Raw genomic sequence first — 26,113 nt, 5'->3', positions numbered from 1 at the left:
GAGATTACAGGTGCCCACCACCACACCCAGCTAATTTTTGTATTTTTAGTAGAGACGGGGTTTCACCATATTGGCCAGGCTGGTCTCAAACTCCTGACCTCGTGATCCGCCGGTCTTGGCACCCAAAGTGCTGGGATTACAGGAGTGATCCACCGCACCCGGCCTAAAAAAAAATTTTATTGTTTAAGTTAGCTGGGTGTGGTGGCTCACATCTGTAGTCCCAGCTACTCCGGAGGCTCAGGTGGGAGGATCACCTGAGCCTAGGAAGTTGGGGCTGCAGTGAGCCATGATCATGTTACTGCACTCCAGCCTAGGTGAAAGAGGGAGACCCTGTCTCAAAAAACCATACAAACCCCAAATCTACTTTTTACCTATTCTGGATATTTCATAAAAACGGAACCGTAGCTCTGGTCTTTTGTGACTTGCTTCTTTGACTTAACATAATGTTTTCAAGGTTTATTGCCAAATAATATTCCATTGTATGCCTATATACTACATTTTATTTACCCATTCATAAGTTGATGGCCATTTGTATTTTTTTTTTCACTTTTTGGCTATTATAAGTAATGCTGCTATAAACAGTTGTGTAGTTTTTGTATAAATGTGTTTTCATTTCTTTTGGGCAAATACCCAGTAATAAAATTGCTGAGTTGTATGAACTCTGTTAAACTGAGGGGCCGGGTGCAGTGGCTCATGTCTGTTATCCCAACACTTTGGGAGGCCGAGGTGGGAGGATTGCTTGGGCCCAGGAGTTCAAGACCAGCCTGAGCAACATGGCAAACCTTAAAAAAAAAAAAAAAAAAAAAAATTAGCCAAGCACGATGGCACGTCTATGGTCCCAGCTACTTGGGAGACTAAGGTAGGAGAATTGCTTGAGCCCAGGGCGTTGAGGCTGCGTTGAGCTATGATCACACCACTGCACTCCAGCCCAGGTGACAGTGAGGCCCTGTCTCAAAAAACAAAAAATCAATTGAGGAACTACCAGACTATTTTCCAAAGAGGCTGTACCGTCTTGCATGCCCACAAGCAGTGTCTGAGGGTTCTAGTTCCTCTAGATTCTCACCAATACTTTTTGCTATATATTTTTTTTTATTATACCATCCTGTTGGCTATGAAGTGGTTTTGATTTGCATTTCCCTAATGACTAATATTGAGCATCTTTTCATGTGCTTATTGGCCATTTTTATATCTTCTTTGGAGAAATGTCTATTCAGATTCTTTGCCCATTGTGCTAGATTTTTTTACTCAGAAAAACGATCACTTTACCTTCTAGATGTGTTACAGAGATAGGCAGCCCTGCTTGTAAACCTTCGTCAGGATCCAGAGTGCATAATACCTCTATTAGGTTAGGTAGGTTAGGAGCATAGGACCCTTTGGGAGGAATTCAGGGCCATTCATTTTATATCTATTGAACAACTACTGTGAGTTAGGGTGTGGTAAAATGAAGATGAATAAGATGTGGTGGTCCTTGCCCTTGAGTTTATGGTCTACTAGGGGGCTTGGGGGGAATGGTGAGTGACAAGTCCACAGCTCTCCAGAGGAGGTGGTGGCATATAGACGGAACTGAATGTACAAAGCGCGGTGGCATCAGAAAATGAGAGTTGCATGTGGTTTATTGAGGGGCATTGTTCAGGAAATGCCCGGGAAGTTCAGCTGGCCAGAGACCTGGGGAGTGTCAAGTGGGAGAGATTAGCAGACAGACTCGGAGAGAGGTTTTAGAAGGCCTTTCTACAGAAGGTGGTTGAACTATTTCCTGAGGGCAGTGGAGCCTTTGAAGGGGAGTAGTTAAGCGGGGATCTGATGGGATTTATTATGAACAACTAGCTGTTATGTGGAGATTGGCTGGGCAGGGGTAGGTCTGTCAGACTGAGGAGACTGGGATACTTAAGTAATGACCTTCAGAGCAGTGCCCCTGGCTGGCCTGTCTGGAAGCCAGGGTTTTGCATCCAGATCGAATATTGGCCACAGATTGGATCTTAAAAGTTATTTTTAATAAAATGGTAATATTAGGATTTTAACTTGTGCATTCTTTTGTCTTCAAAATGAAGTGCAAAAGGAGTGTTTGCCTGGGGAAGCTCTTTAGTTGGACTTTAGTTGAGATTATGTTAAATAAATGCCTTACTTACTGTTAACATTTCTCTTTTTTTCCTTTAAGTTCTGTTGGACTTGAACTGTTAACATTTCTAAAGTGAAGGGAGTACCGTAAATTCTTTTAAACGTTTGTCAGTATTTGGGTATTGGTATGGCCATCTGGTATAGGCAACAGGTATTTGTGTAGAAATGTTTCTTCAACAAGGACGGGCAACCTCTAAACTAGGATTTCGTGGCTGGAGATATTTTGGATGTGAATGTATTAACAGCTTTGGAGAGACACATTGTTAGAGATCCAGGCTGGTGACTTGTAGAACCACCGAAAGCTCTGAGACAGAAAGGGGCTAATGAAAGTCTCTAGTTGCAGTTGGGTGTGGATGGCACACAAAGACCTTAAGTGTTTAGGTGATTTGCTGCAGGCTTCTCGGCCGACTGGAAGCAGAGCACATCTAGATTGTAGTTTCTCTGGTGCCAGGGCAGTCTTAGTTGTCCTGTTATACCTAAGAAAAGGGAGAAAAATTTCTATTCTTTAAATGTTCTGTAAAGCAGACTAATTGTGATAATTTTTAAAGTAAGCTGTTCTTAAAAGATAAGATACAGAAGCCAGTTAAATTTGTATTTTAGATAAATAATTTTTTGTTAAAATAAGCTTTTGGTAATTGAAGAATAACATACATTCAGAAACGTACAGAAATCAAGTGTAAACTCAGTGAATTGTTCACAGTTGATGCACCTGTGTAAGCAGCAACCCAGAAGCCCTCTACCAGTCACTGCCTCCCCTGAGCCAAAAGAACTACTATCCTGACTTCTGAAAGCATTGATTAGTTTGGCCTGGTTTTGTTTTTGCTTTTTTTGTTTTCGTTTTTGAGATAGGGTGTTGCTTTGGAGTGCAGTGATCATAGCTCACTGCAGCCTCATCCTCTCAGGCTCAAGCAATCCTCCCACCTCAGCCTCCTGAGTAGCTGGGACTATAGGCATACGTCACCGTGCCCGGCTAATTTTTTTTTTTTTTTTTTTTTTAAGACGCAGAGTCTCACTATGTTGCCCAGAATGATCTGAAACTCCTGGGCTCAAACAGTTTTCCTGCCTCGGCCTTGCAAGGTGCTAGGAATACAGGCGTGAACTACCGTGCCTGGCCAGTTTTGCCTGTTTTTGAACTCTCTGTCAACGGAATCACATAGTGATACACATTTGCATATCTAGTGGCATTTGCTCAGCCTAAAGTGTTTTTTTTTTCCTTCCTCTTCCCCTTACAACTATTTTTTAGTTGTTTATTTTACTTCATTAAAAAAATGAAAAGATTTGAGGTATAATTCATACACAGTAAAACAGACTCGCTTTACAGGTAGTTTCAATTGTATACTGTTGTATAATCGCCATCAAGATCTAGAACTATTTCATCACCCCAAAAAAGTAAAATAAATAAATAAATAAAATAGAAATATAATAATTTGAGCTTTATCCATATCATGTGTAGTGTGTTCATTTTCTTTTTTGACAGTTTCGCTCTGTCGCCCAAGCTGGAGTACAGTGGTACAATCTTGGCTCACTGCAACCTTGGCTCACTGCAAACCCTGCCTCCCGGGTTCAAGCGATTCTCCTGCCTCAGCCGCCCCAGTAGCTGGGATTACAGGCGCACCACCACACCCAGCTAATTTTTTGTGTTTTTAGTAGAGACAGGGTTTCCCCATGTTGGCCAGGCTGGTCTCCTGACCTCAAGTGATCTGCTCCCCTCGGCCTCCCAGAGTCCTGGAATTACAGGTGTGAGCCACTGCACCCAGCCAGTTTGTTCATTTTCATTGCTGCATTAGTGCATTGTAGGAATGTACTATTCATTCTGTTGATAGACATCTAGGCTGTTTCTGTTTCCCTGCTATTATGAGTAGTGCTTCTCTAACCATTCTCATATATGTCTTTGGTGAACGTATGTGTTCATTTCTGCTAGGTATGTATGTAGAGGTAGAACTGCTGGGTTCAGCTTTAGTAGATAGACTGCCAACAGTTTTTAAAATAGTTGTACCAATTTACACCATGCCAGCAGCATATGAAAGTTCTCACTTTTCTATATACTCACCAACACTTAATGCTGTCTTTTTAACTTTAGCCATTCTTTGAGCTGCTAGTTGTAATTTAAGAAGAATAGGCCAGGCATGGTAGCTCACGCCTGTAATCCCAGCAATTTGGGAGGCCGAGGCAGGTGGATCACTTGAGGTCAGGAGTTCGAGACCAGCGTGGCCAACGTAGTGAAACCCCATCTCAATGGCTTTTTAACTTTAGCCATTCTTTGAGCTGCCGGTTGCAATTTAAGAATACTAGGCCCGGGCGCAGTGGCTCATGCCTGTAATCCCAGCACTTTGGGAGGCCGAGGTGGGTGGATTTTTGTGTTTTTGTAAAAATACAAAAATTAGCTGGGTGTGGTGGCACACACCTGTAATCTGAGCTACTTGGGAGGCTGAAGCAGGAGAATCACTTGAACCTGGGAGGCGGAGGTTGCAGTGAGCTGAGATCTCACCACTGCACTCCAGCCAGGGCAACGGAGCGAGACTCTGTCTCAAAAAAAAAAAAGAAAATAAAAATAAATAAATTAATTAAATAAAATGGCAAGGCACAGTGGCTCACATATGTAATCCTAGCACTTTGGGAGGCCGAGGAGGGCGGATCACTTGAGGCCGGGAATTCAAGACCCACCTGGCTAACATGGCGAAACCCCAACTCTACTAAAAATACAAAAATTAGCTGGGTGTGGTAGCACCTGCCTATAGTCCCACCTACTCGGGAGGCTGAGTCAGGAGAATCATTTGAACGCAAAAGGTAGAGGTTGCAGTGAGCCAAAATTGCACCACTGCACTCCAGCCTGGGCGACAGAGCAAGATGCTGTCTCAAAAAAAAAGAAAAAACAAAAAAAAAACACCAAAAAAATAGTAATAAATTGCCAAACATTTTGCAGGAGTTTCTCACCAGCAAGTTCTTGTGTTAGTTTATTTTACCAACATCTTTTGTCCGGTTTTTCTTTAGTAAAAGTATTTATAATTCTGTATTATACTTCCATAGGTAGATCATTGTTGAAAGTCCAGAAGGTTGAGCTTCCATGATGTAATATGATATGAAATCTTGTATTGCTAGTGGCATTTGGTAGGAAAAGGGATGGGGAGTGGTTAAAGGTGAATTAAGCTGAATGCTTGTTTTCAATTTGTTTTTTTCTCGAGGCCACTGAGAAGCTAGTCTTTTTAGTTCTCGAAAATAGTGCTTTTAGTCCAGAGGCTGTGACTGATGTAACTAACAGGCCTTAGTTTTTGGTTTTCAGTGAGGTGCTGGCGGAGGAGTCCATAGTATGTCTGCAGAAAGCCCTAAATCACCTTCGGGAAATATGGGAGCTAATTGGGATTCCAGAGGACCAGCGGTTACAAAGAACTGAGGTGGTAAAGAAGCATATCAAGGTGGGTTGAATAGTACTGGTCTCTGCATTGGACCAGGGTAAGGATGTTGGTGTCTCACCCGAGATAGCATACAGAAGGGACATGTGATCATCGGCATTAGGATAGCACAGGCTCTTCCTGTTTGGTTTGGTTTGGTTTTGAAGTCCCTTCTTGAAATTTGAGGAGGCTGGGTGCGGTGGCTCATGCCTGTAATCCCAGCACTTTGGGAGGCCGAGGCGCATGGATTGCTTGAGGTCAGGAGTTCAAGACCAGCCTGATCAACATGGTGAACCTCCGTCTCTACTAAAAATAAAAAAATTAGCCGGGCATGGTGGTGAGCACCTGTAATCCCAGCTACTCAAGAGGCTGAGACAGGAGAATCTATTGAACCCGGAAGGTAGAGGTTGCAGTGAGCCGAAAGCACGCCATTGCACTCCAGCCTGGGCAACAGAGCGAGACTCCATCTCAAAGAAAAAAAGAAAAAGAAAAAAGAAATTTGAGGAGTTTGGTATTGGTGTTGGGAGTTTTTTTCCTCCATTGCCCCAAACTTATGGACTGTTTTCCCTCTTGTAGGAACTCCTGGATATGATGATTGCTGAAGAGGAAAGCCTGAAGGAAAGACTCATCAAAAGCATATCCGTCTGTCAGAAAGAGCTGAACACTCTGTGCAGCGAGTTACATGTTGAGCCATTTCAGGTCCGTGGCAGCCCACAGGGTCTCTGGTGATCTGTCTGGGGCCTGAGACTTAGAAAGCAACGTTGACTTGGGCCTGCAGATGGAAGGCTTCCTCGTAGGGATGGAGCTAGACGTAAGAAGTGGGGAAAACATGCTGTGTAGTTAATTAGGCCCAGCAGAGTAATTCTCACCTCTGTAGAGAGTTGCCCTGGTAAGAGGTGAAGCAACTAATAGATGATCAAAAAGAAGCTGCTGCTTACCATAGTTTTGCTTTGTAGGGAATATGAATTTTTTTTTATAAACGCTGAGAAAAAGGTAGGCATAGATGGTGCTGCAGTGTTCTTTCTCTGAAAGAAAATGAAAACAGGAACAAAAGTAACTAATGATTAAAAGGAATACTATGAAAACACCAACCTTTGTGGGTTTTATCATACCCAGAAGCTGCATACCACTGAACCAGCCAAAATGGCTTCTTCAGAAGAAATGTCTCAAAAGCTGGAATACTGGGAGTGCATAGTCCATTTCAGAGCATGCCATGACATCCATCTGGGTATGGAGCTGAGAAGTGGCTATATTGTGGTCCACTGCAAGTCAGGGACTTGAGTGAGGACACAGCAAGGATGAAATGAATAACAGATGGGGTCCTGAAAATCTCTGCTTAGAACCAGTAAAAATAGTGCCAGGATCATAAAAATTAGGACAGATGTGGAGCTTGGAAAGACAATGAGTACACCCATAAGGTTCTCAGGTCCCTCTTCCTGTTACAGGAAGACCTGCCTGGATATCTATTTGGAGTTAGCTTAGGAGGGAGATCACCTTTAAAGGGCAAAGGATAATTCATACTTGGTAGCCAAGAGCAATCAGGCAGAAGAGAACATGAAGTGGAGCTTCCTGGAGTCAACATAAATGTCATAAATATAATTGATTTTGGACATAGTTTCTCTTTCTTTTTTCACATTCCATGTGAAATTGGGCGAGAAGTGAGGTGTACAACGATCATCTCCCTTAAGTTACCTGATGTTCCTAGTTCACAATGTTAAATGAAATTGTGTAAATGTATAGGACATTTAAGAAAAATGTATATGTCCTATAAAAAAATGCCACTTTTTTTTTTCTTGTTAACCAGTTAGGAGTAGAGCAGGGACTACCAGATGGGTTTTTGTTGCTAAGGTGAGACGATGTTCATAGGATTAGCAGGATGAGTATTTAGATATGAGCTAGGCATGCCACCCTATAGCTAACCCAAAGCAAGCTTTCCAGCCAATTTACACTGTTATTTCTTTATTTATTTAGAGACAGAGTCTCGCTGTGTTGTCCAGGCAGGAGTGCAATGGTGTGGTCTCGGCTCACTGCAACCTCCGCCTCCCGGGTTCAAGCGATTTTCCTGCCGTAGCCTCCCGAGTAGCTGGGATTACAGGTGTCCGCCACCATGCCTGGCTAATTTTTCTATTTTTAGTAAAGACGGGGTTTCACCATGTTGGCCAGGTTGGTCTCAAACTGCTGACCTCGTGATCTGCCCACCTTGGCCTCCCGAAGTGCTGGGATTATAGGCGTGAGCCACCGTGCCTGGCTGCCAATTTACACATTCTATAAAAGTGCCTGGTGCCTGGAGTAGTCTAATCATAGAGACAAAAGGTAGAATGGTGGTTGCCAGGCTTGGAGAAGGGAAAAAATGGGGACTTATTTGTTTGAGTATGAAGTTTCACTTTTGCAAGAGGAAATGAGTTTTGGAGGTGATGGTTATGATTGCACAACAATATGACTGTACTTAATACCAATGAACTGTACACGTAATGGTTAAGATGGTAAATTTTATGTTATATGTGTTCTACCACAAGTTTTAAAATTGGGGGGAAAAGTACCCTGGTACTTACTCACTTTTCCTCACTGGGACCTTCCTTAGGAGACCCTCTTTGTGCCATATTCTGTTGACCATGAGTTGACTTACTTGTTAGTTTAACTGAAAGTCTGTCATCCACGCCTTCTTATGTTGTCCTTCTCTTCCTCTGAAGGAATTCACTTGGAATCTTATAACAGTGGTACGTTGTCTTATTCAGGAAGAAGGAGAGACGACCATCTTGCAACTAGAAAAAGATTTGCGCACCCAAGTGGAATTGATGCGAAAACAGAAAAAGGAGAGAAAACAGGAACTGAAGCTACTTCAAGAGCAAGATCAAGAACTGTGCGAAATTCTTTGTATGCCCCACTATGATATTGACAGTGCCTCAGTGCCCAGCTTAGAAGAGCTGAACCAGTTCAGGCAACATGTGACAACTTTGAGGGAAACAAAGGTACACTGCCTACATTTGTTCTTCCTAAAAGTCACTTTGGTTTTCCTCTAGGTATCTTGTAATTGCTTTGTTTTAAAGGCTTCTAGGCGTGAGGAGTTTGTCAGTATAAAGAGACAGATCATACTGTGTATGGAAGCATTAGACCACACCCCAGACACAAGCTTTGAAAGAGATGTGGTGTGTGAAGACGAAGATGCCTTTTGTTTGTCTTTGGAGAATATTGCAACACTACAAAAGTTGCTACGGCAGGTACTGTCTTCTCAAATTATGCCCTAGGATCTCCGTAGTATATAGCAGTTTGAACAAAACTGACAGCTGTTTCTTCAGTCTTAAATAAGGAGACAATGTAAGGTAAGAGAATGAGGGAAGCTAAGGATAGTAATATATGATATACAACCTTGATTTTTGTTTAACAGTTAAAAAACCTTTATATGGCTCCAAGAAAATGAAATTATAGATGAAATAATATTAGTCATTTGAATTAGACTAGTGTTTAATTAAAATTTTTTTCAGTTCTAAATTTGAATGCTAATTCTTGGGGTCTGAGATCCCGACAGCCTTACAGCTCGTGTTTAGGAGGCATGAAAACATGCTACTTTGAACTCTCATGAAAGTGCCTCCTCCTCTACTCCAGACATTTCTTTGCGGGAGGCTAGAGGGCTAGCCTCTGTGCTGCTGCTTTGCCGTGAGTGACACTGGCTTTCTATGCTGTAGCTGGAAATGCAGAAATCACAAAATGAAGCAGTGTGTGAGGGGCTGCGTACTCAAATCCGAGAGCTCTGGGACAGGTTGCAAATACCTGAAGAAGAAAGAGAAGCTGTGGCCACCATTATGTCTGGGTCAAAGGCCAAGGTCCGGAAAGCGGTAAGAAACCCAGTGGGTACTGGGTCAGCAGTCTTCTCTTAGCACTTCTGTGTTAGTCATAAAGACTGTTGTTGATTTGGCCAGGCTCAGTGGTTCATGCCTCTAATCCCAGCACTTTGGGAGGCCGAGGCAGGTGAATCATTTGAGGTCAGGAGTTCGAGACCAGCCTGGACAACATGGCGAAACCCTGTATATACTAGCCAGGTGGTAGTGGCGTGCGCCTGTAATCCCAGCTACTTGGGAGGCTGAGACAGGAGAATCGCTTGAGCCTGGGAGGTGGAGGGTTGCAGTGAGCCAGAATCGCGCCACTGCACTCCTGTCTGGGCGAGAGAGTGAGACCCTGTCTCAAAAAAAAAAAAAAAAAAAAAAAAGTGTTGATTTATAATACCTTTGTGGCTTTGCATTATAATTTTACTTAAAAGGGGGGGATCTTTTGCAAACCTGAGTGAATATAAAACTATGGCAGCCACCCTTAACAAGTTTCTTTCTTTCAGCTGCAATTAGAAGTGGATCGGTTGGAAGAACTGAAAATGCAAAACATGAAGAAAGTGATTGAGGCAATTCGAGTGGAGCTGGTTCAGTACTGGGACCAGTGCTTTTATAGCCAGGAGCAGAGACAAGCTTTTGCCCCTTTCTGTGCTGGTTAGTACAAGAGTGAGGTCTTTGGTTTGTTTGTTTGGAGACAGGTCTTACTCTGTTGCCCAGCCTAGTCTCAAGTTCCTAGGCTCAAACAATCCTCCCAACTTGGCCTCCCAAAGTGTTGGGCCACCACACCCAGCCAAAAGTGGGGTCTTCATGTGGCCTGCTCACTAGTTTTTAAGACATCCAGACATTCAACAGGAAGTATATCCTTTTCTGAACAGATAAAGCCACCTTTTCAAGACATTTAGCATAATTGCCATTCCTGTATGAAAAAGCATTTGCAAATTTTATTGGGAAATATTGGTCTCTTGCTTTCTGAAGCAATATGTCACTGTAGCCTCTAGCTGTGAAGCTTAAGTTTTTATCAGGTGCTTACTTTTTGCCAGGTGCAGTGTCAAACCCTTAATATTATTTCACATCCTCATGTCAAGAGGTGAGGATACTAAAGCACATAAATGCTGAGTCATTTAACCCAGAGACATATAATGGTAAATGCCAGAGCCTACGTTTGAGCCAAAAGGAGCTTGACTCCTGGAGTCCAGTTGAATGCTAGTCTGAACTGCACTGAATATAAAGATGGAGCTACCCCAACTAAATTCAACAGATGTTTTTGCACATTTTCTGTGATCCACCCCTCTACTGGCTGGGCAAGACAGAAAAGCAGAATATGAAAGAAACCGAAGACAAGGCAAGAGATGATGCAGATTTTTGACAACATTATTTTAGTCTCTATCCTAGTCTCTTAGGCCCTACTCCCCCAGGCTGATTGTGACAAAGCTGGTTTTTATTAACCACTATATATCTATTACACACACACACACGCCTCTTCCTGTATCAGTTTACTATAAGGAAAGAATCTATTTCCATTTTAGGGAATCGGGGATTCGTAAAATTGGATACTAAATACTAGAGGAATTGTTTTAAACTACTGGGCCTATATTTTGCAGAGGACTACACAGAAAGTCTGCTCCAGCTCCACGATGCTGAGATTGTGCGGTTAAAAAACTACTATGAAGTTCACAAGGAACTCTTTGAAGGTGTCCAGAAGTGGGAAGAAACCTGGAGGCTTTTCTTAGAGTTTGAGGTATTGTCCTAGTTTTTGTGTTTTTAACTGTTAAGAAAGCATGCCATGTACGGAATCAATCCAGTTAGCTTTGTTCTTTGCCAGGCTTTTGATACCCCATCTTTATCATTAAGTCTCTCTGAATTTCTGCTGACCGCCTCTGTTTGATAAGCTTATCTACAGGGTCTTTTAAGAGAAAAGCCCAAAATTAATGGCTTAAATAAGGTAGGCATTTCTTGCATGAATGAGGTTCAGAGGTGGGCAGTGTGGGGCAGGCATGGCAGATCTGCACAGTGAGCAGGACCCCAGGCTTCTCCGGCTCAGGGCGCTCCCCCACCACTAAGGGTGGACCTCATCTTCAGGGCCAGGATGGCTGCTAGAGCTCCCACCCTGATGGCACTTTTTTTTTTTTTTTTTTTTTTTTTGAGGTGGAGTTTCGCTCTTGTTGCCCAGGCTGGAGTGCAATGGTGCGATCTTGGCTCACCACAACCTCCACCTCACAGGTTGAAGTGATTCTCCTACCTCAGCCTCCCAAGTAGCTGGGATTACAGGCATGCACCACCACACCCGGCTAATTTTTTGTATTTTTAGTAGAGATGGGGTTTCACCATGTTGGCCAGGCTGGTCTCAAACTCCTGACTTCAGCTGATCTGCCCACCTCGGCCTCCCACAGTGCTGGGATCACAGGCGTGAGCCACCACGCCTGGCCTGATGGCACATGTCATACAGTGTGGTGGAGGAAGGAACAAAGAAGGCATTGCCCCTCACTCCTTCAAGAGCTCTTCCCGGCTCTCTTCACAGCACCGTGGCTCACATGCTCTGTCACCTGCTGGTGAGGCTGGGTGAATTGCTGCCCCAGGTAAATTCTGGTTCTGTTAAACTAAGGAAGGAGAGAAGAATGGATGTTGGGGCAGGCAACTAACATTCTCTACCATTCCAACTTTTGCTATACTTAGAATATTGCATGGGTATTGATTCCTTTTCTTCTGATAGGCAACATGGTGGGTTCCTTCAGAGCATTTTAGAGCTCAGGGACTGTGGTAAAGCAAGTGAGGTGTGTAGGGCACAGATGGAAGGAGACCTTGTTCTCGGGTTCATGCTGGCCCTGTTAGAGCTCAGAGGGCCTTCAGAGAATCTGAATTCAACTCCTTCAAGTTTACAGGCAGCAAACTAGGACTCAGAAGTGGAGAGAACTATGGGATATCTTACAGCTGCTTAAGAACAGATGTCTTTGTCCTCAGTTATTCTTTACTTCTGGTTACAACAAGAAGAGTAAACATAAATAAGGAGGCCAGGTGTGTGTGGTGGCTCACGCCTGTAATCCCAGCACTTTGGAAGGCCGAGGCAGGCAGATCAGGAGGTCAAGAGATCGAGACCATCTTGGCTAACACAGTGAAACCCCGTCTCTACTAAAAAAATACAAAAAAATTAGCCGGGCATGGTGGCGGGCACTTGTAGTCCCAGCTACTCGGGAGGCTGAGGCAGGAGAATGGCGTGAACCCGGGAGGCAGAGCTTGCAGTGAGCCAAGATCGCACCACTGCACTCCAGCCTGGGCGACAGAGCGAGACTCTGTCTCAGAAAAAAAAAAAAAAAAAAAAAAACGTAAATAAGGAGCTAAGGCAGCAACCTTTGTTGACATGCCAATATTTAAGAAGAAAACAAGAAATGAATTACCTACCATCCTCTCTAGTAACTATTGGCTGTCACCAATCAAGCAGTATGGAAGGGAAACAATTTAATTTTCTAGAATATCTTCTAAATTTTTCTGCCTGTGTGCCCCTATTTTTGAGTATACACACCTAATTTATAATTACAAGCTATATACTTGCATTACTGTTCTGATATACCTTATATGTTCTAAAAGAAAACACATGCTGGTCCGAGTGTAGTGGTGTTTATAAGTCAGTGATCACAGCCAGTTACAGATTTGTTCCTCTCCCACTCCCACTGCATTACTTGACTAGAAAGAAGACAGTAAAAAACAGAAAAGTTAACAAAAAGAAAAGTTAAAAAGAATGAGAAGCTTTAACAATTGACTTTTTTTTTTTTTTTTTTTTTGAGCGTCTCGCTCATTGCTCGGGGTGGAGCACGGTGGCGCAGTCTCGGCTCACTGCACGCCACCCAGGTTCAAGTGATTCTCCTGTCTCAGCCTCCTGAGTAGCTGGGACTGCACGTGCGCACCGTCATGCTCGCTAATTTTTTTATTATTAGTAGAGATGGGGTTTCGCCATGTTGGCCAGGTTGGTCTGGAACTGTCGACCTCAGGTGATCCACTCGCCTCGGCCTCCCAAAGTGCTGGGATTACAGGTGTGAGTCACCACGCCTGGCGAGAACAAAGAATCTTAGCAGAAGTTATTGGTCTCATGGTGCCAGGTTTTCCACTAATTAAAAATGTATTTTTCACAGAGAAAAGCTTCAGATCCAAATCGATTTACAAACCGAGGAGGAAATCTTCTAAAAGAAGAAAAACAACGAGCCAAGCTCCAGAAAATGCTGCCCAAGGTAATAATGTTGCTAAGGGTTTTTGATGCTTGGTTACAAAGATACCTCACTATTTGTATGTCTTTTTCTTTCTATTGTTTAGCCCCAAAACTATTTTCTTCAAAGCTTAGGCAGAGATAATAAGTTATATATTTAGTATAAGCAACTCCATATCAAGGTGTATTCGTTTGCTAGGACTGCCATAATAAAGCACTACAGGCCAGGTGTAGTGGCTCACGCCTGTAATCCCAGCACTTTGGGAGGCCTAGGCAGGCATATCGCGAGGTCAGGAGTTCAAGACCAGCCTGGTCTTGATCATGAGGTCAGGAGTTCAAGACCAGCCTGGTCTTGATCATGAGGTCAGGAGTTCAAGACCAGCCTGGTCTTGATCATGAGGTCAGGAGTTCAAGACCAGCCTGGTCTCTACTAAAAATACAAAAATTAGCCAGGCATGGTGGCGGGCACCTGTAATCCCAGCTACTCAGGAGGCTGAGGCAGGAGAATCACTTGAACCCAGGAGGCAGAGGTTGCAGTGAGCCAAGACCGCGCCACTGCACTCCAGCCTGGGCAACAGAGTGAGACTCCATCTCAGAGAGAAAAACAAACAAAAAAACAAAACACTACGGACTGGGCAGTTTCGACAACAGCAACTTATTTTCTCACAACTCTAGAAGCTGTAAATCTGAGATCAACATGTCGTTGGCAGAGTTGGTTTCTTCTGAGGCCTTTCTCCTTGGCTTTGTAAATGGTTGTCGTCTTCTCCGTGTGTTCACATGGTTTTCCCACAATATGTGTGGCCTAAACACTCCCAGTCGTATGAGATTAGGGCCCACCTAATGACCTCATTTTAACTTAATTCTTTCTTTTTTCCCCCCGCAAGAGATGGGGTCTCGCTGTGTTGACCAGGCTGGTCTTGGACTCCTGGCCTCAAGCATTCCTCCCATCTCGGTCTCAGGAATGCTAGGGTTACAGGAATGAGCCACCATACCTGGCCTTAATTCTCTTTTTAAAGACGCTGTCTCCAAATACAGTCACATTCTGAGGTACTGGGGGTTAAGGCTTCAACATTTGAATTTGGGGGAAACACAATTCAGTCAGTTACATGAGGAAAGCTTTTGAGAGAGAGTCCTGTGGGCTCCATTACCATTTTCCACTTTGATAATAATAATACCATTTTTTGAGTTAAGTCAGGGATATCATTTCAAAACGCTCTCATTTAGTGATTCGTCTAATCCTTACAACATCCTTATGAGGTCGGTATTCTTTCCATTTTTACAGACGAGGAAACTGAGGTACTAAGAAATTAGGTAAATCTGGCCGGGCGTGGTGTCTCACTCCTGTAATCCCAGGGCTTTGGGAGGCCGAGGCAGTTCGAGACCAGCCTGGCCAACATGACGAAACCCCATCTCTACTAAAAAATACAAAAATTAACCAGGTGTGGCGTATGCCTGTAATCCCAGCTACTCGGGAGGCTGAGGCACAAGAATCGCTTGAACCCGGGAGGTGGAGGTTGCAGTGAGCTGAGATCGTGCCACTGCACTCTAGCCTGGGCGACAGAGTGAGACTGTCTCAAAAAAAATGTAAATTTGCTCACTGCTTCACAGCCAGTAAAGAGGGTGATTCCAGATTGAACCCCATTAAGTCTGATTTCAGAGTCCTGCTCCTAATGTTCACCGCCTATTTCATATTGCTGATCTTCCCTGTGCTGCCTCCAACTTCAGGCACCAAAACCTTAGTGGTCAAACTTTGGGTTCTTGCCATTTTCCACTCTTGTGTGTTGTGTGAATGAAATGTCTCCGGGCTTTGATTTCTGGTCACTCTGACCTGTACCCATGTGGGCCCAGCTACCTGAAATGAGGCTAATGATGCTCTGGGGAGGAGGAGTCACTCTCTAGGGAAATCATTTCATTTGGGCTTTGCACTAAAGAGTTGAAGTAATTAACATGTCCTTGTTTCTGGTCTCAGCTGGAAGAAGAGTTGAAGGCACGAATTGAATTGTGGGAACAGGAACATTCAAAGGCATTTATGGTGAATGGGCAGAAATTCATGGAGTATGTGGCAGAACAATGGGAGATGCATCGATTGGAGAAAGAGAGAGCCAAGCAGGAAAGAGTAAGTGTGAACGTGAACGCAAATTGGGAAAAGACGAAGAAAGTAATCTGAGCAGCCCATAGTCTCTGCCGGGGACCAGGGTTTGTGGAACAGGGAGCCGGGGACCGGGGCTTGTGGAACGGGAAGCCGGGGACCGGGGCTTGTGGAACGGGGAGCCGGGGACCGGGGCTTGTGGAACGGGGAGCCGGGGACCGGGGCTTGTGGAACGGGGAGCCCGCGGCAGCTCTTTAGCTCTGGCTGTAGAGACACGGGCCTAGATTCCCGGCCCTGCTGCTGTTGCCATCCCAGACCCGCTCTCTTCCTGAGATTTATCACTGTTGCTTCTGACTTTCACACAGCAACTGAAGAACAAAAAACAGACAGAGACAGAGATGCTGTATGGCAGCGCTCCTCGAACACCTAGCAAGCGGCGAGGACTGGCTCCCAATACACCGGGCAAAGCACGTAAGGTAAACACAAGGCTTAGGGAAACACTGATTTCAAGGGAGTGGGTGAGGGTAGTCCCAGCCACCTCTTTGAAGGGGGCCAGCCCCTCCACACCTGTGGGTATTTCTCATCAGGTGGGACAAGAGACAGAGAAAAGAAATAAGACACAAAGTATAGAGAAAGAACAGTGGGCCCAGGGGACCAGCACTCAGCATACAGAGGACCTGCACCAGCACCGGTCTCTTGAGTTCCCTCAGTATTTATTGATTACTATTTTCACTATCTTGGCAAGGGGAATGCGGCAGGAGGACAGGGTGATAGTGGGGAGAAGGTCAGCAGGAAAACGTGAGCAAAGGAATCTGTGTCACAAATAAGTTCAAGGGAAGGTACTGTGCCTAGATGTGCACGTAGGCCAGATTTATGCTTCTCCCCACCCAAACATCTCAGTGTAGTAAAGAGTAACAGAGCAGCATTGCCGCCAGCGTATCTCGCCTCCAGCCACAGGGCAGTTTTCTCCTATCTAAGAATAGAACGAACATAGGTACGTACGATCGGGTTTTACACCGAGATATTCCGTTCCCAGGGGCATGCAGGAGACGGAGGCCTTCCTCTTTTACGAATCCTCCTGAGCACAGACGACGGGTGTCGGGCTGGGGGATGGTCAGGTCTTTCCCTTCCCACGAGGCCATATCTCAGGCTGTCTCAGTGCGGGGAAATACCTGGACAATACCCAGGCTTTCTTGGGCAGAGGTCCCTGCGGCTTTCCGCAGTGCATCGTGCCCCTGGTTAATCGAGAATGGAGAATGCAGATGACTTTTACCGAGCATACTGCCTGTAAACATATTGTTAACAAGGCACATGCTGCACAGCCCTAGATCCCTTGAACCTTGATTCCATACAGCACATGTTTCTGTGAGCACAGGGTTGGGGCTAAAGTTGCAGATTAACAGCATCTCAAGGCAAAACAATTTTTCTTAGTACAGATCAAAATGGAGTTTATGTCTTCCTTTTCTACATAGACACAGTAACACTCTGATCTTTCTTTTCCCTACCTCTTGCCCTCTGTCCTGCAGAGATGGGAAAGGGTTTTTCTGTCCCTGCATGTCGAGTCCACTTGAGTGGATGGAAGGCTGAGTAGCGGCCTATAGTGACAGTCACGGAGTGGCCAGCTTTGGTGTCTGTGCTTGTTGCGTCCTTGCATTAAATTCGGGGTGCGGTGGGGGAATGATTGCCAACATTCTGGTAACGATGAAAAGAAAGCTTCAGCAGTTTTCCTGAAAACCTGTAATGCCATTTTCCCTGTAAGACCAAGAGATGGCCTTGTGGTACCATGTGAAAAACAACGTTCACGCTTACTAAATGGAAGATGTAATAATTCTTCATCTCTACAGCACAGTCAGAGAGGACTTTTTTTTTTTTTGAGATGGAGTTTCGCTCTTGTTGCCTAGGCTGGAGTGCAATGGGTGATCTCAGCTCACTACAGCCTCTGCCTCCTGGTTTCAAGCAATTCTCCTGCCTCAGCCTCCCAAGTAGCTGGGATTACAGGCATGTGCCACCACACCCGGCTAATATTGTATTTTTAGTAGAGACAGGGTTTCTCCATGTTGGCTAGGGTCTTGAATTCCTGACCTCAGGTGATCCACCCACCTTGACTTCCAAAGTGCTGGGATTACAGGCGTGAGCCACTGTGCCTGGCCTACTTTTTTCTTTTTGATAAATAAAAGAGTATTATTTCTTCTCTCTACTGCTATTTTATAACATTAAATTTATTATTTTTAGACAGTGTCTTGCTCTATCACCCACACCGGAGTGCAGTGGCGCCATCATGGCTCACTGCAGCTCAGCCTCCTGGGCTCAAGTGATTCTCTAACCTCAGCCTCCCATGTAGCTGAGACTTACGGGCACATGCCACCATACCCGGCTAATTTTGGGGTTTTTTTTTTTGTTGGTGGTGTTTTTTTTTTTTTTTTTTTGAGTTTCAGTAGAGATGAGGTCTCACTAAGTTGTCCAGGCTGGTCTCAAACTCCTGAGCTCAAGTGATCCTCCTGCCTCAGCCTCCCAAAGTGCTGGGATTACAGGCATGAGCCACTGTGCCTGGCCTAAAATGTGTTTTTTTTGGTTTTGTTTTTTTGAGACGGAGTCTCGCTCTGTTGCCCAGGCTGGAGTGCAGTGGCGCAATCTCAGCTCACTGCAACCTACACCTCCTGGGTTCAAGTGATTCTCGTGCCTCAGCCTCCTGAGTAGCTGGGACTACAGGCCCGCGCCACTATGCCCACCTAATTTTTGTATTTTTAGTAGAGATGGGGTTTCACTTTGTTGGCCAGGATGGTCTCAATCTCTTGACCTCAGAAGATCTGCCCGCCCCAGCCTCCCAAAGTGCTGGGATTACAGGCGTGAACCTCCACCTCCCGAGTAGCTGGGATTACAGGCATGTGCTACCACACCTAATTTTGTATTTTTAGTAGAGACGGGGTTTCTCCATGTTGGTCAGGCTGGTCTCATACTCCCGACCTCAGATGAGCCACCGTGCCCGGCCCCCTAGAATTTTTTTAATTAAAAAAAAAAAAAAAAAGTGTTGGCTGGGTACAGTGGCTCAAGCCTGTAATCCCACTACTTCGGGAAGCCAAGGTAGGGGGATTGCTTGAACTCAGGAGTTGGGAGACTAGGAAACATGTTGAAGCCCCATCTCTACTACAAATACAAAAATTAGCTGGTTGTGGTGGCACACGCCTGTGGTCCCAGCTACTCAGGAGGCTGGGGTGGGAGGATTGCTTGAGCCCAGGAGGTCGAGGCTGCAGTGAACCAAGATTGTACCACTGTACTCCAGCCTGGGTGACAGAGTGAGACCCCATCTCAAAAACATTTACAGCTCTTATCATTAGCATATAATAAGTTTTGACATATGTAGGTTTATACAATGAAACTGTCACCATAATTTAGATAATGAACATTTCATGGTCCCCAAAGTTTCCTAGTGCCTCTTTGTATTACCTCCCTCCTTCCCTGGCTCCTAGTTTGCCCCCAGCCTCTAGCTGTGGCGAGTAGGGATTTAGTCTTTAACTAACTATAGATTAGTTTTCATTTTGAAACATTTTACATAGAATCCCGCAGTACATATTCTTTTTTGTCTGGCTTCTTTCATTTAGTGTAGATTCATCTCTGTTGCTGTATGTATCAAAAGGTCACTCCTTTTTATTGTAGATCAATATTCATTCCACTGTATGAATTTACCACAGTTTGCTTGTCCACTTACCTGCTGATGGGTATTTGGCTGTTGCCAGCTTTTGGCTGCTGCAGGGAGCTGTTGTGAACATTTACGTCTAAGTCTTTGTATGGATCTATGCTTTCATTTCGTTTGGGTAGAAACATCTAAGAGTGGAATGGCTGGGTCATATGCTAGATGTCTTGTGCCACAGTGGTTGTACCATTGTACACTTCCATTTGCTGGATAGCAATAGGCTTTGAAAATTTTTCACAAGTTACTTCAAATCTATGCAGTATTAGACACAGCAGGCCCTTCACCATGTAAACCCGTCTTCCCTAGACTGCCTCCTCCCATAGTCATTTCTCTGTAGGGTAGACAGGTTGCTAGAAATGCTGAGGATGTTACTGCACATCAGTTACCCACGTGCTCTTCTCCCTAGCTGAACACTACCACCATGTCCAATGCTACGGCCAATAGTAGCATTCGGCCTATCTTTGGAGGGACAGTCTACCACTCCCCCGTGTCTCGACTTCCTCCTTCTGGCAGCAAGGTTAGTATGCCCTGTGTCTAAGCACATCCTCACATGCGTCCCTAGCCTGTTCACCCAGAGGCCCCACCTACTTGTTCTAGATTCTAAGATCCCTGGATTTGGTTCTTATTGAGATGCTGAGAGTTGACAGATATAAGCTAGCTCACCATTAAATAATGGTCCAAAACTAACGTGCAAAAAAAGAGAACAGTCACTCTGAGCCCCACTGGTACCATGGGAAGCACTGGGATGTGTCTGGGAAACTGAAGATCAGGCAGGGTCGCTGTAGACTCAATTCCAAGCCCAGTCCTCAGCTGGTATGGAGATAGGTCCCCTACATGTGGGTTCTAGCCCAGTGAAACCAGATCACTAGACATGCCAGGTACTCAGTAGAGATGTGGAAAGTATGTGGCAAAACACATTCAGTCTTTCAAATATTTTATTAGACTATGCTCAAGATAGGTGTTCTGTAAATCAAGAATTCATATTTAAAAAAAATTTTTTTCTAGAGACAGTGTTTTGCTATGTTGCCCAGGCTGGTCTCGAACATGTCGCCTCAAGCAATCCTCCTGCCTTGGCCTCCCAAAGTGTTGGGATTATAGGCATGAGCCACACCCAGCCCCATATATATATATATATATATATATATATATATATATATGTTTTTTTTTTAACTAAAAAGTATAGGATTATAGACATGAATATAAAGATAGTCTCAGCCTTTGACCAGTGCAGGTATTGTGTGTGCGTGTGCACGTTCATTAGAAGGATGATACATGGATCTCTTTCCTTTCTCTGCAGCCAGTCGCTGCTTCCACCTGTTCAGGGAAGAAAACACCCCGTACTGGCAGGCATGGAGCCAACAAGGAGAACCTGGAGCTCAACGGCAGCATCCTGAGTGGTGGGTACCCTGGCTCGGCCCCCCTCCAGCGCAACTTCAGCATTAATTCTGTTGCCAGCACCTATTCTGAGTTTGCGGTAATTCACCTTTTCTAATATCTACCAGTCTCTGGGGAGCACACAGTTGGGGCAGAGTGGGTATCTTCCCAGGGGCACCCAGGCTATTAGCTAGGGCAGCTACCTTGGAGGCTGAGAATCCCTTTCCTGCTTTGACCATGGCAGGGTGGGTGTGATTTAAGGGGGGGTTGTGTAGGAAGGAAGTTGGCAGCAGCAACTAGACATTTAACCTGGATCCTTCTGCTTAATACATACCATTCCCTGGCTGCAGGAGGCAACCCCTCTATCACTGTCCTGGTGCTCTCTTGGTGGAGTTCTTGGTAATTGTCTTAATTCTTTGTTCTTAGAAGGATCCGTCCCTCTCTGACAGTTCCACTGTTGGGCTTCAGGTCTGTATGGCAATCCCTGCATGTCCCTTTTCCAAACTGATCTGTCATCTGCTGGCTTCATTCATCTGGGCACAGGGCTACACTAACTAATAATCTCAGCAGTGTTACAAAGGAAGCAGGAATTCCTATCATGGACTCAAAAAAACACATCTGATTTACATTCACAACAGATTAATTAATAAAATTTGTTCAGACTTGAATTGGATTCTCAGCCCCTAAAGTCAGGCACAGTTTTAAATCACGTTTAACAGAAAACCTTGACCCTCCCCAATTGTGACATCAAAGGCCTGCAATAGCTGGAAAGAATAGAGGCCCCCAATCACATGGGGAAGGGAGCCCCAGCTGTGTGCTGCCTACAATGAGGCTCTTGGCCTGTGTGCTGATTATTTCCTGGAGTATATGCCTTCCTAACCCCTCAGGGCTTAACCGCCAGCTCTATTCTCAGCTAGCTAATGCTGATTTCCTCACCTTTGCCTCTTTCCATACATTGAGCTACTGAAGCATAGATGAAGCACTGGAAGCAAGTTTTTCCAGAATGCTCTTCACTTCCTAGTATCCTACTCTATATTTGCTAACACCTAACTACACTGCCTTTTACTTAATCTGTGATTTCTTCTCTCAATATTTTACTAGCAAGAGGAGAGGATGTTCCTCACCCTTGAGGGGATATTGAGTTAAACCCCTAGCCTGCCTCCCCTCTTAATTGCTGCAGGGATAGAGAATGGAACAGTTGGCCAAGGCTGCAGCTAGTTTTGATCACTGAAACTGGCTTCCTACTCCAGCATGTTTTTCAAATTACGTGGCTGGTGGTGCTTCTACCTTTAAAAGTGGGTGTGTGTCACTCTGGCTGATTGCTGGACAGAGGTCCAGCTTTCTCTTTTTCGCTTGTTCAACCAAGGCCCATTTTATCTGAGGCTTAAATGTACCTGCCTATCTGTGTGGCTAGTCCTAGGTAGGTTCGTCTGGTTTGGGTTGCTATGGCTGATAGACTCCACCAGGCAGCACCAAAGCCGGTAAACTAACCTCTGCTAATATCTGTCTTTCTCAATAGCCATTCATGCTTTATCTTTTGCTGCTCTACCATGTGCTCCAGCATGAGATCAAATCACCAGCAGGTTACAAGGCCTCAGCCCCAGGGATTGGTAGATATATGTTCTGGCCCATTGTTTTATAAAGGGCTCAAGAGACCAAAGCTTGTTGCCTACTTACCTTGACAACTCTAAAGTAGCTCTGTGAAGTAGAGTCATGCCTCGCTTAATGACAGGGATATGTTCTGAGAATGTGGGGCAATTTCATTGTGCACATATCAGAGTGTACTTAACAGTCCTAGACAGAACAGCCTACACACCTAAACTATATGGTATGGCGTTTTCCTCCTAGGCTACAAACCTGGGCAGCATGTTACAGAAAGAATACTGTAGGCAATTGTGGGTTTTTTTGATTCAGGCTATTCCTGGGATACTGTAGGCAATTGTAACGCAATGGTAAGTATTTGTGTATCTAAACATAGAAAAGGTACAGTAAAAATATGGTATAATCTTATGGGACCACCATAGTGTATGTGGCCTGTCGTTAACTGAAACATCATTATGCAGTGCATGACTGTATGAAGGATTTCTCTTCTGTGAGGTGTAACAGAATGGACTGGCTGAGGAAAAAGGGGTCACGGGCATGCGTGCACATGCACTCTGTCTGTGACTAATAGAATGGTGCTCAGAGTTCCTCACCTTTTACTCCTAACGCAGCCTATTGCAGGCTAGGGATCTCAGAGAAACTACCTTCAAGGGACCTTTTGCTGACACTTAACCAAACTTAGAAGGGTGGGCCATGTGTAAGAGAGGCAGTATGGCCACTGATGTTATTTATTTTTCAACAGCGAGAACTTTCAAAGGCTTCCAAATCTGATGCTACTTCTGGAATCCTCAATTCAACCAACATCCAGTCCTGAGAAGCCCTGATCAGTCAACCAGCTGTGGCTTCCTGTGCCTAGACTGGACCTAATTATATGGGGGTGACTTTAGTTTTTCTTCAGCTTAGGCGTGCTTGAAACCTTGGCCAGGTTCCATGACCATGGGCCTAACTTAAAGATGTGAATGAGTGTTACAGTTGAAAGCCCATCATAGGTTTAGTGGTCCTAGGAGACTTGGTTTTGACTTATATACATGAAAAGTTTATGGCAAGAAGTGCAAATTTTAGCATATGGGGCCTGACTTCTCTACCACATAATTCTACTTGCTGAAGCATGATCAAAGCTTGTTTTATTTCACCACTGTAGGAAAATGATTGACTATGCCCATCCCTGGGGGTAATTTTGGCATGTATACCTGTAACTAGTAATTAACATCTTTTTTGTTTAGGCATGTTCAATTAATGCTGTAGCTATCATAGCTTTGCTCTTACCTGAAGCCTTGTCCCCACCACACAGGACAGCCTTCCTCCTGAAGAGAATGTCTTTGTGTGTCCGAAGTTGAGATGGCCTGCCCTACTGCCAAAGAGGTGACAGGAAGGCTGGGAGCAGCTTTGTTAAATTGTGTTCAGTTCTGTTACACAGTGCATTGCCCTTTGTTGGGGGTATGCATGTATGAACACACATGCTTGTCGGAACGCTTTCTCGGCGTTTGTCCCTTGGCTCTCATCTCCCCCATTCCTGTGCCTACTTTGCCTGAGTTCTTCTACCCCCGCAGTTGCCAGCCACATTGGGAGTCTGTTTGTTCCAATGGGTTGAGCTGTCTTTGTCGTGGAGATCTGGAACTTTGCACATGTCACTACTGGGGAGGTGTTCCTGCTCTAGCTTCCACGATGAGGCGCCCTCTTTACCTATCCTCTCAATCACTACTCTTCTTGAAGCACTATTATTTATTCTTCCGCTGTCTGCCTGCAGCAGTACTACTGTCAACATAGTGTAAATGGTTCTCAAAAGCTTACCAGTGTGGACTTGGTGTTAGCCACGCTGTTTACTCATACAGTACGTGTCCTGTTTTTAAAATATACAATTATTCTTAAAAATAAATTAAAATCTGTATACTTACATTTCAAAAAGATATAGTGTGGTGTTTCCTTTTTTTCCCCAGTCACTTTTTAGTTGGTTGGTCTGTGTGTGAAAAACAAACACAAAAAACTAAAAGGACCTCCTGGAAATTTTTAGTCAGGAGTGTGATTTTTTTTTTTGAGTCTCACTCTGTCGCCCAGGCTGGAGTACAGTGGCACTATCTTGGTTCAGTGCAACTTCCACCTCCCAGGTTCAAGCGATTCTCCTGCCTCAGCCTCCCGATTTGCTGGGATTACAGGCACGCACCATCACACCTGGCTAATTTTTGTATTTTTAGTAGAGACAGGCTTTCACCATGTTGGCCAGGCTGGTCTTGAACTCCTGACCTCAGATGATCTGCCTGCCTCCCAAAGTGCTGGGATGACAGGCATGAGCCACAGCACCCGGCCGAGTGTGATTTTTAAAATATTCTCTGGTACATTTCTAAATTAAGAATATCTCTTACTCTAATTTTTTGGTGAGAAATATAAAACCTAACCCCTGATGTGTAGAGAGCAAAGGGAGTCCTAGGATGCTTCTGGCTTCAATGCCGTTTGTCTCAATATGGGGAGGCTGCCCAACTTCAACAGCGTTACTGAAGGAGGATGGACATAAACTGCACACATGTGAAGCGTAAGAGAAAAACCATCGCCACAGTCCAGTTAACCAAGTCTCTCTACCCCAGCAGTTCTTCCCACCCCTTTCTCACTCCTCCTTCCCAGCCTCACCCTGCCGAGCAACCACTGATTTTTTTTTTTTTTTTTTTTTTTTTTTTTGAGATGGAGTCTCGCTCTTGCCAGGCTGGAGTGCAGTGGCACAATCTCAGCTCACTGCAATCTCTGCCTCCCAGGTTCAAGGGATTCTCCTGCCTCAGCCTCCCGCGTAGCTGGGACTGCAGGCACGTGCCATCACGCCTGGTAAATTTTTGTATTTTTGGTACAGACAGACAGGGTTTCACTGTATTAGCTAGGATGGTCTCGATCTCCTGACCTCATGATCCGCCCACCTCGGCCTCCCAAAGTGCTAGGACTACAGGCATGAGCCACTGTACCTGGCCCACCGATTTGTTACTACAGATTAGTTTGCGTTTTCTACAGTTCGATGTAAGTAGAATCATACAGTATATATTTTTTTGGTCTGGTTCTTTCACTACTTTCAGATTTACCCATATTGTTGCTTATATCCATAATTCTTTTTTTTTTTTTTTTTTTTTTTTTTTTTTTTTTTTGCTTAGTATTCCATGGTGTTGATATACCAGTTTATTCGCCTGTTAGGTTTATTTTTCACATTTGGCTTTTCTCCAGTTTTTGGCTATTAAAAACAAGGCTGTTATAAACATTCATGTACAAGTCTTTGTATGGATATATTTTTTTTTCTGGATAAATACCTAGGAGTGAAATGGCTGGATCACATCTATGGTATGTGTACACTTAACTTTTTAAGAAATGCCAAACTGGGCCGGGCATGGTGGCTCACGCCTGTAATCCCAGCACTTTGGGAGGCTAAGGTGGGCAGATCACGAGGTCAGGAGTTCGAGACCAGCCTGGCCAACATGGTGAAACCCCATCTCTACTAAAAATACAAAAATTAGCTGGCTGTGGTGGCACACACCTGTAATCTCAGCTATTCAGGAGGCTGAGGAAGGAGAATTCCTTGAACTCAGGAGGCGGAAGTGGCAGTGAGCTGAGATTGCACCACTGCACTCTAGCCTGGGCAACAGAGCAAGACTCCATCTTAAAAAAGAAGAAATGCCAAACTGTTTTCCAAAGCAGTTGTACCATTTTACATTCCTACCAGTAATGTATGAAGGTTCCAGTTTCTCCACATCTTCACCAACAGTTGGTATGTTCAGCCTTTATGTAATTCTAGTTATTCTGTGTATGGAGTGGTGTCTCACTATGGTTTTCATTTACAACTCCCTAATGACTAATGATGTAGAGCAT

At 44.6% G+C, this 26,113-nt stretch overlaps 1 protein-coding gene and 1 long non-coding RNA gene across 34 annotated transcripts in view, besides 1 other annotated feature; one reads left to right on the top strand and one right to left on the bottom strand.

Annotated features, from left to right (window-relative positions):
* PRC1 (protein regulator of cytokinesis 1) overlaps nt 1-24,181 on the top strand; it is a 28,496-nt gene extending 4,315 nt beyond the window's left edge. The window contains exons 2-15 of one of the 33 annotated variants that reach the window (XM_006720759.3): nt 5,396-5,528; nt 6,081-6,203; nt 8,240-8,473; nt 8,552-8,722; nt 9,188-9,337; nt 9,832-9,979; nt 10,927-11,063; nt 13,450-13,545; nt 15,490-15,636; nt 15,975-16,085; nt 19,707-19,817; nt 20,598-20,697; nt 21,101-21,142; nt 23,019-24,181. In XM_006720759.3, the coding sequence (XP_006720822.1) occupies nt 5,396-5,528; nt 6,081-6,203; nt 8,240-8,473; nt 8,552-8,722; nt 9,188-9,337; nt 9,832-9,979; nt 10,927-11,063; nt 13,450-13,545; nt 15,490-15,636; nt 15,975-16,085; nt 19,707-19,817; nt 20,598-20,697; nt 21,101-21,120 (1,681 nt within the window). In that variant the 3' untranslated portion in view covers nt 21,121-21,142; nt 23,019-24,181. Of the gene's footprint in view, nt 1-5,395; nt 5,529-6,080; nt 6,204-8,239; nt 8,474-8,551; nt 8,723-9,187; nt 9,338-9,831; nt 9,980-10,926; nt 11,064-13,449; nt 13,546-15,489; nt 15,637-15,974; nt 16,086-19,706; nt 19,818-20,597; nt 20,775-21,100; nt 21,143-23,018 lie in introns of all 33 variants that reach the window. The other 32 variants (XM_011522187.3, NM_003981.4, XM_011522191.4 and 29 more) reach the window with 32 other exon arrangements.
* PRC1-AS1 (PRC1 antisense RNA 1) lies at nt 1,597-23,852 on the bottom strand. The gene is made up of 4 exons (NR_051984.1): nt 23,543-23,852; nt 8,131-8,266; nt 6,443-6,529; nt 1,597-2,591 (listed from the first exon to the last, which is right to left on the bottom strand). It is a non-coding gene; the product is annotated as a PRC1 antisense RNA 1 (long non-coding RNA).
* Nucleotides 5,660-6,859: an enhancer, noted in NCBI's record as "BRD4-independent group 4 enhancer chr15:91526592-91527791 (GRCh37/hg19 assembly coordinates)". NCBI's record gives its function as "activates an origin of replication core promoter dependent on BRD2, P300/CBP, MED14 and CDK7 cofactors, and independent of BRD4, by STARR-seq in HCT116 cells {active_cell/tissue: HCT116}" and the evidence as "EXISTENCE:reporter gene assay evidence [ECO:0000049][PMID:35650434]".

The sequence above is a fragment of the Homo sapiens genome, chromosome 15, assembly GCF_000001405.40.
Source record: "Homo sapiens chromosome 15, GRCh38.p14 Primary Assembly".
NCBI classification, from domain to species: domain Eukaryota; kingdom Metazoa; phylum Chordata; class Mammalia; order Primates; family Hominidae; genus Homo; species Homo sapiens.
Note: the sequence above shows the minus strand (reverse complement) of the source record. Positions and strands in the feature narration are given on the sequence as shown.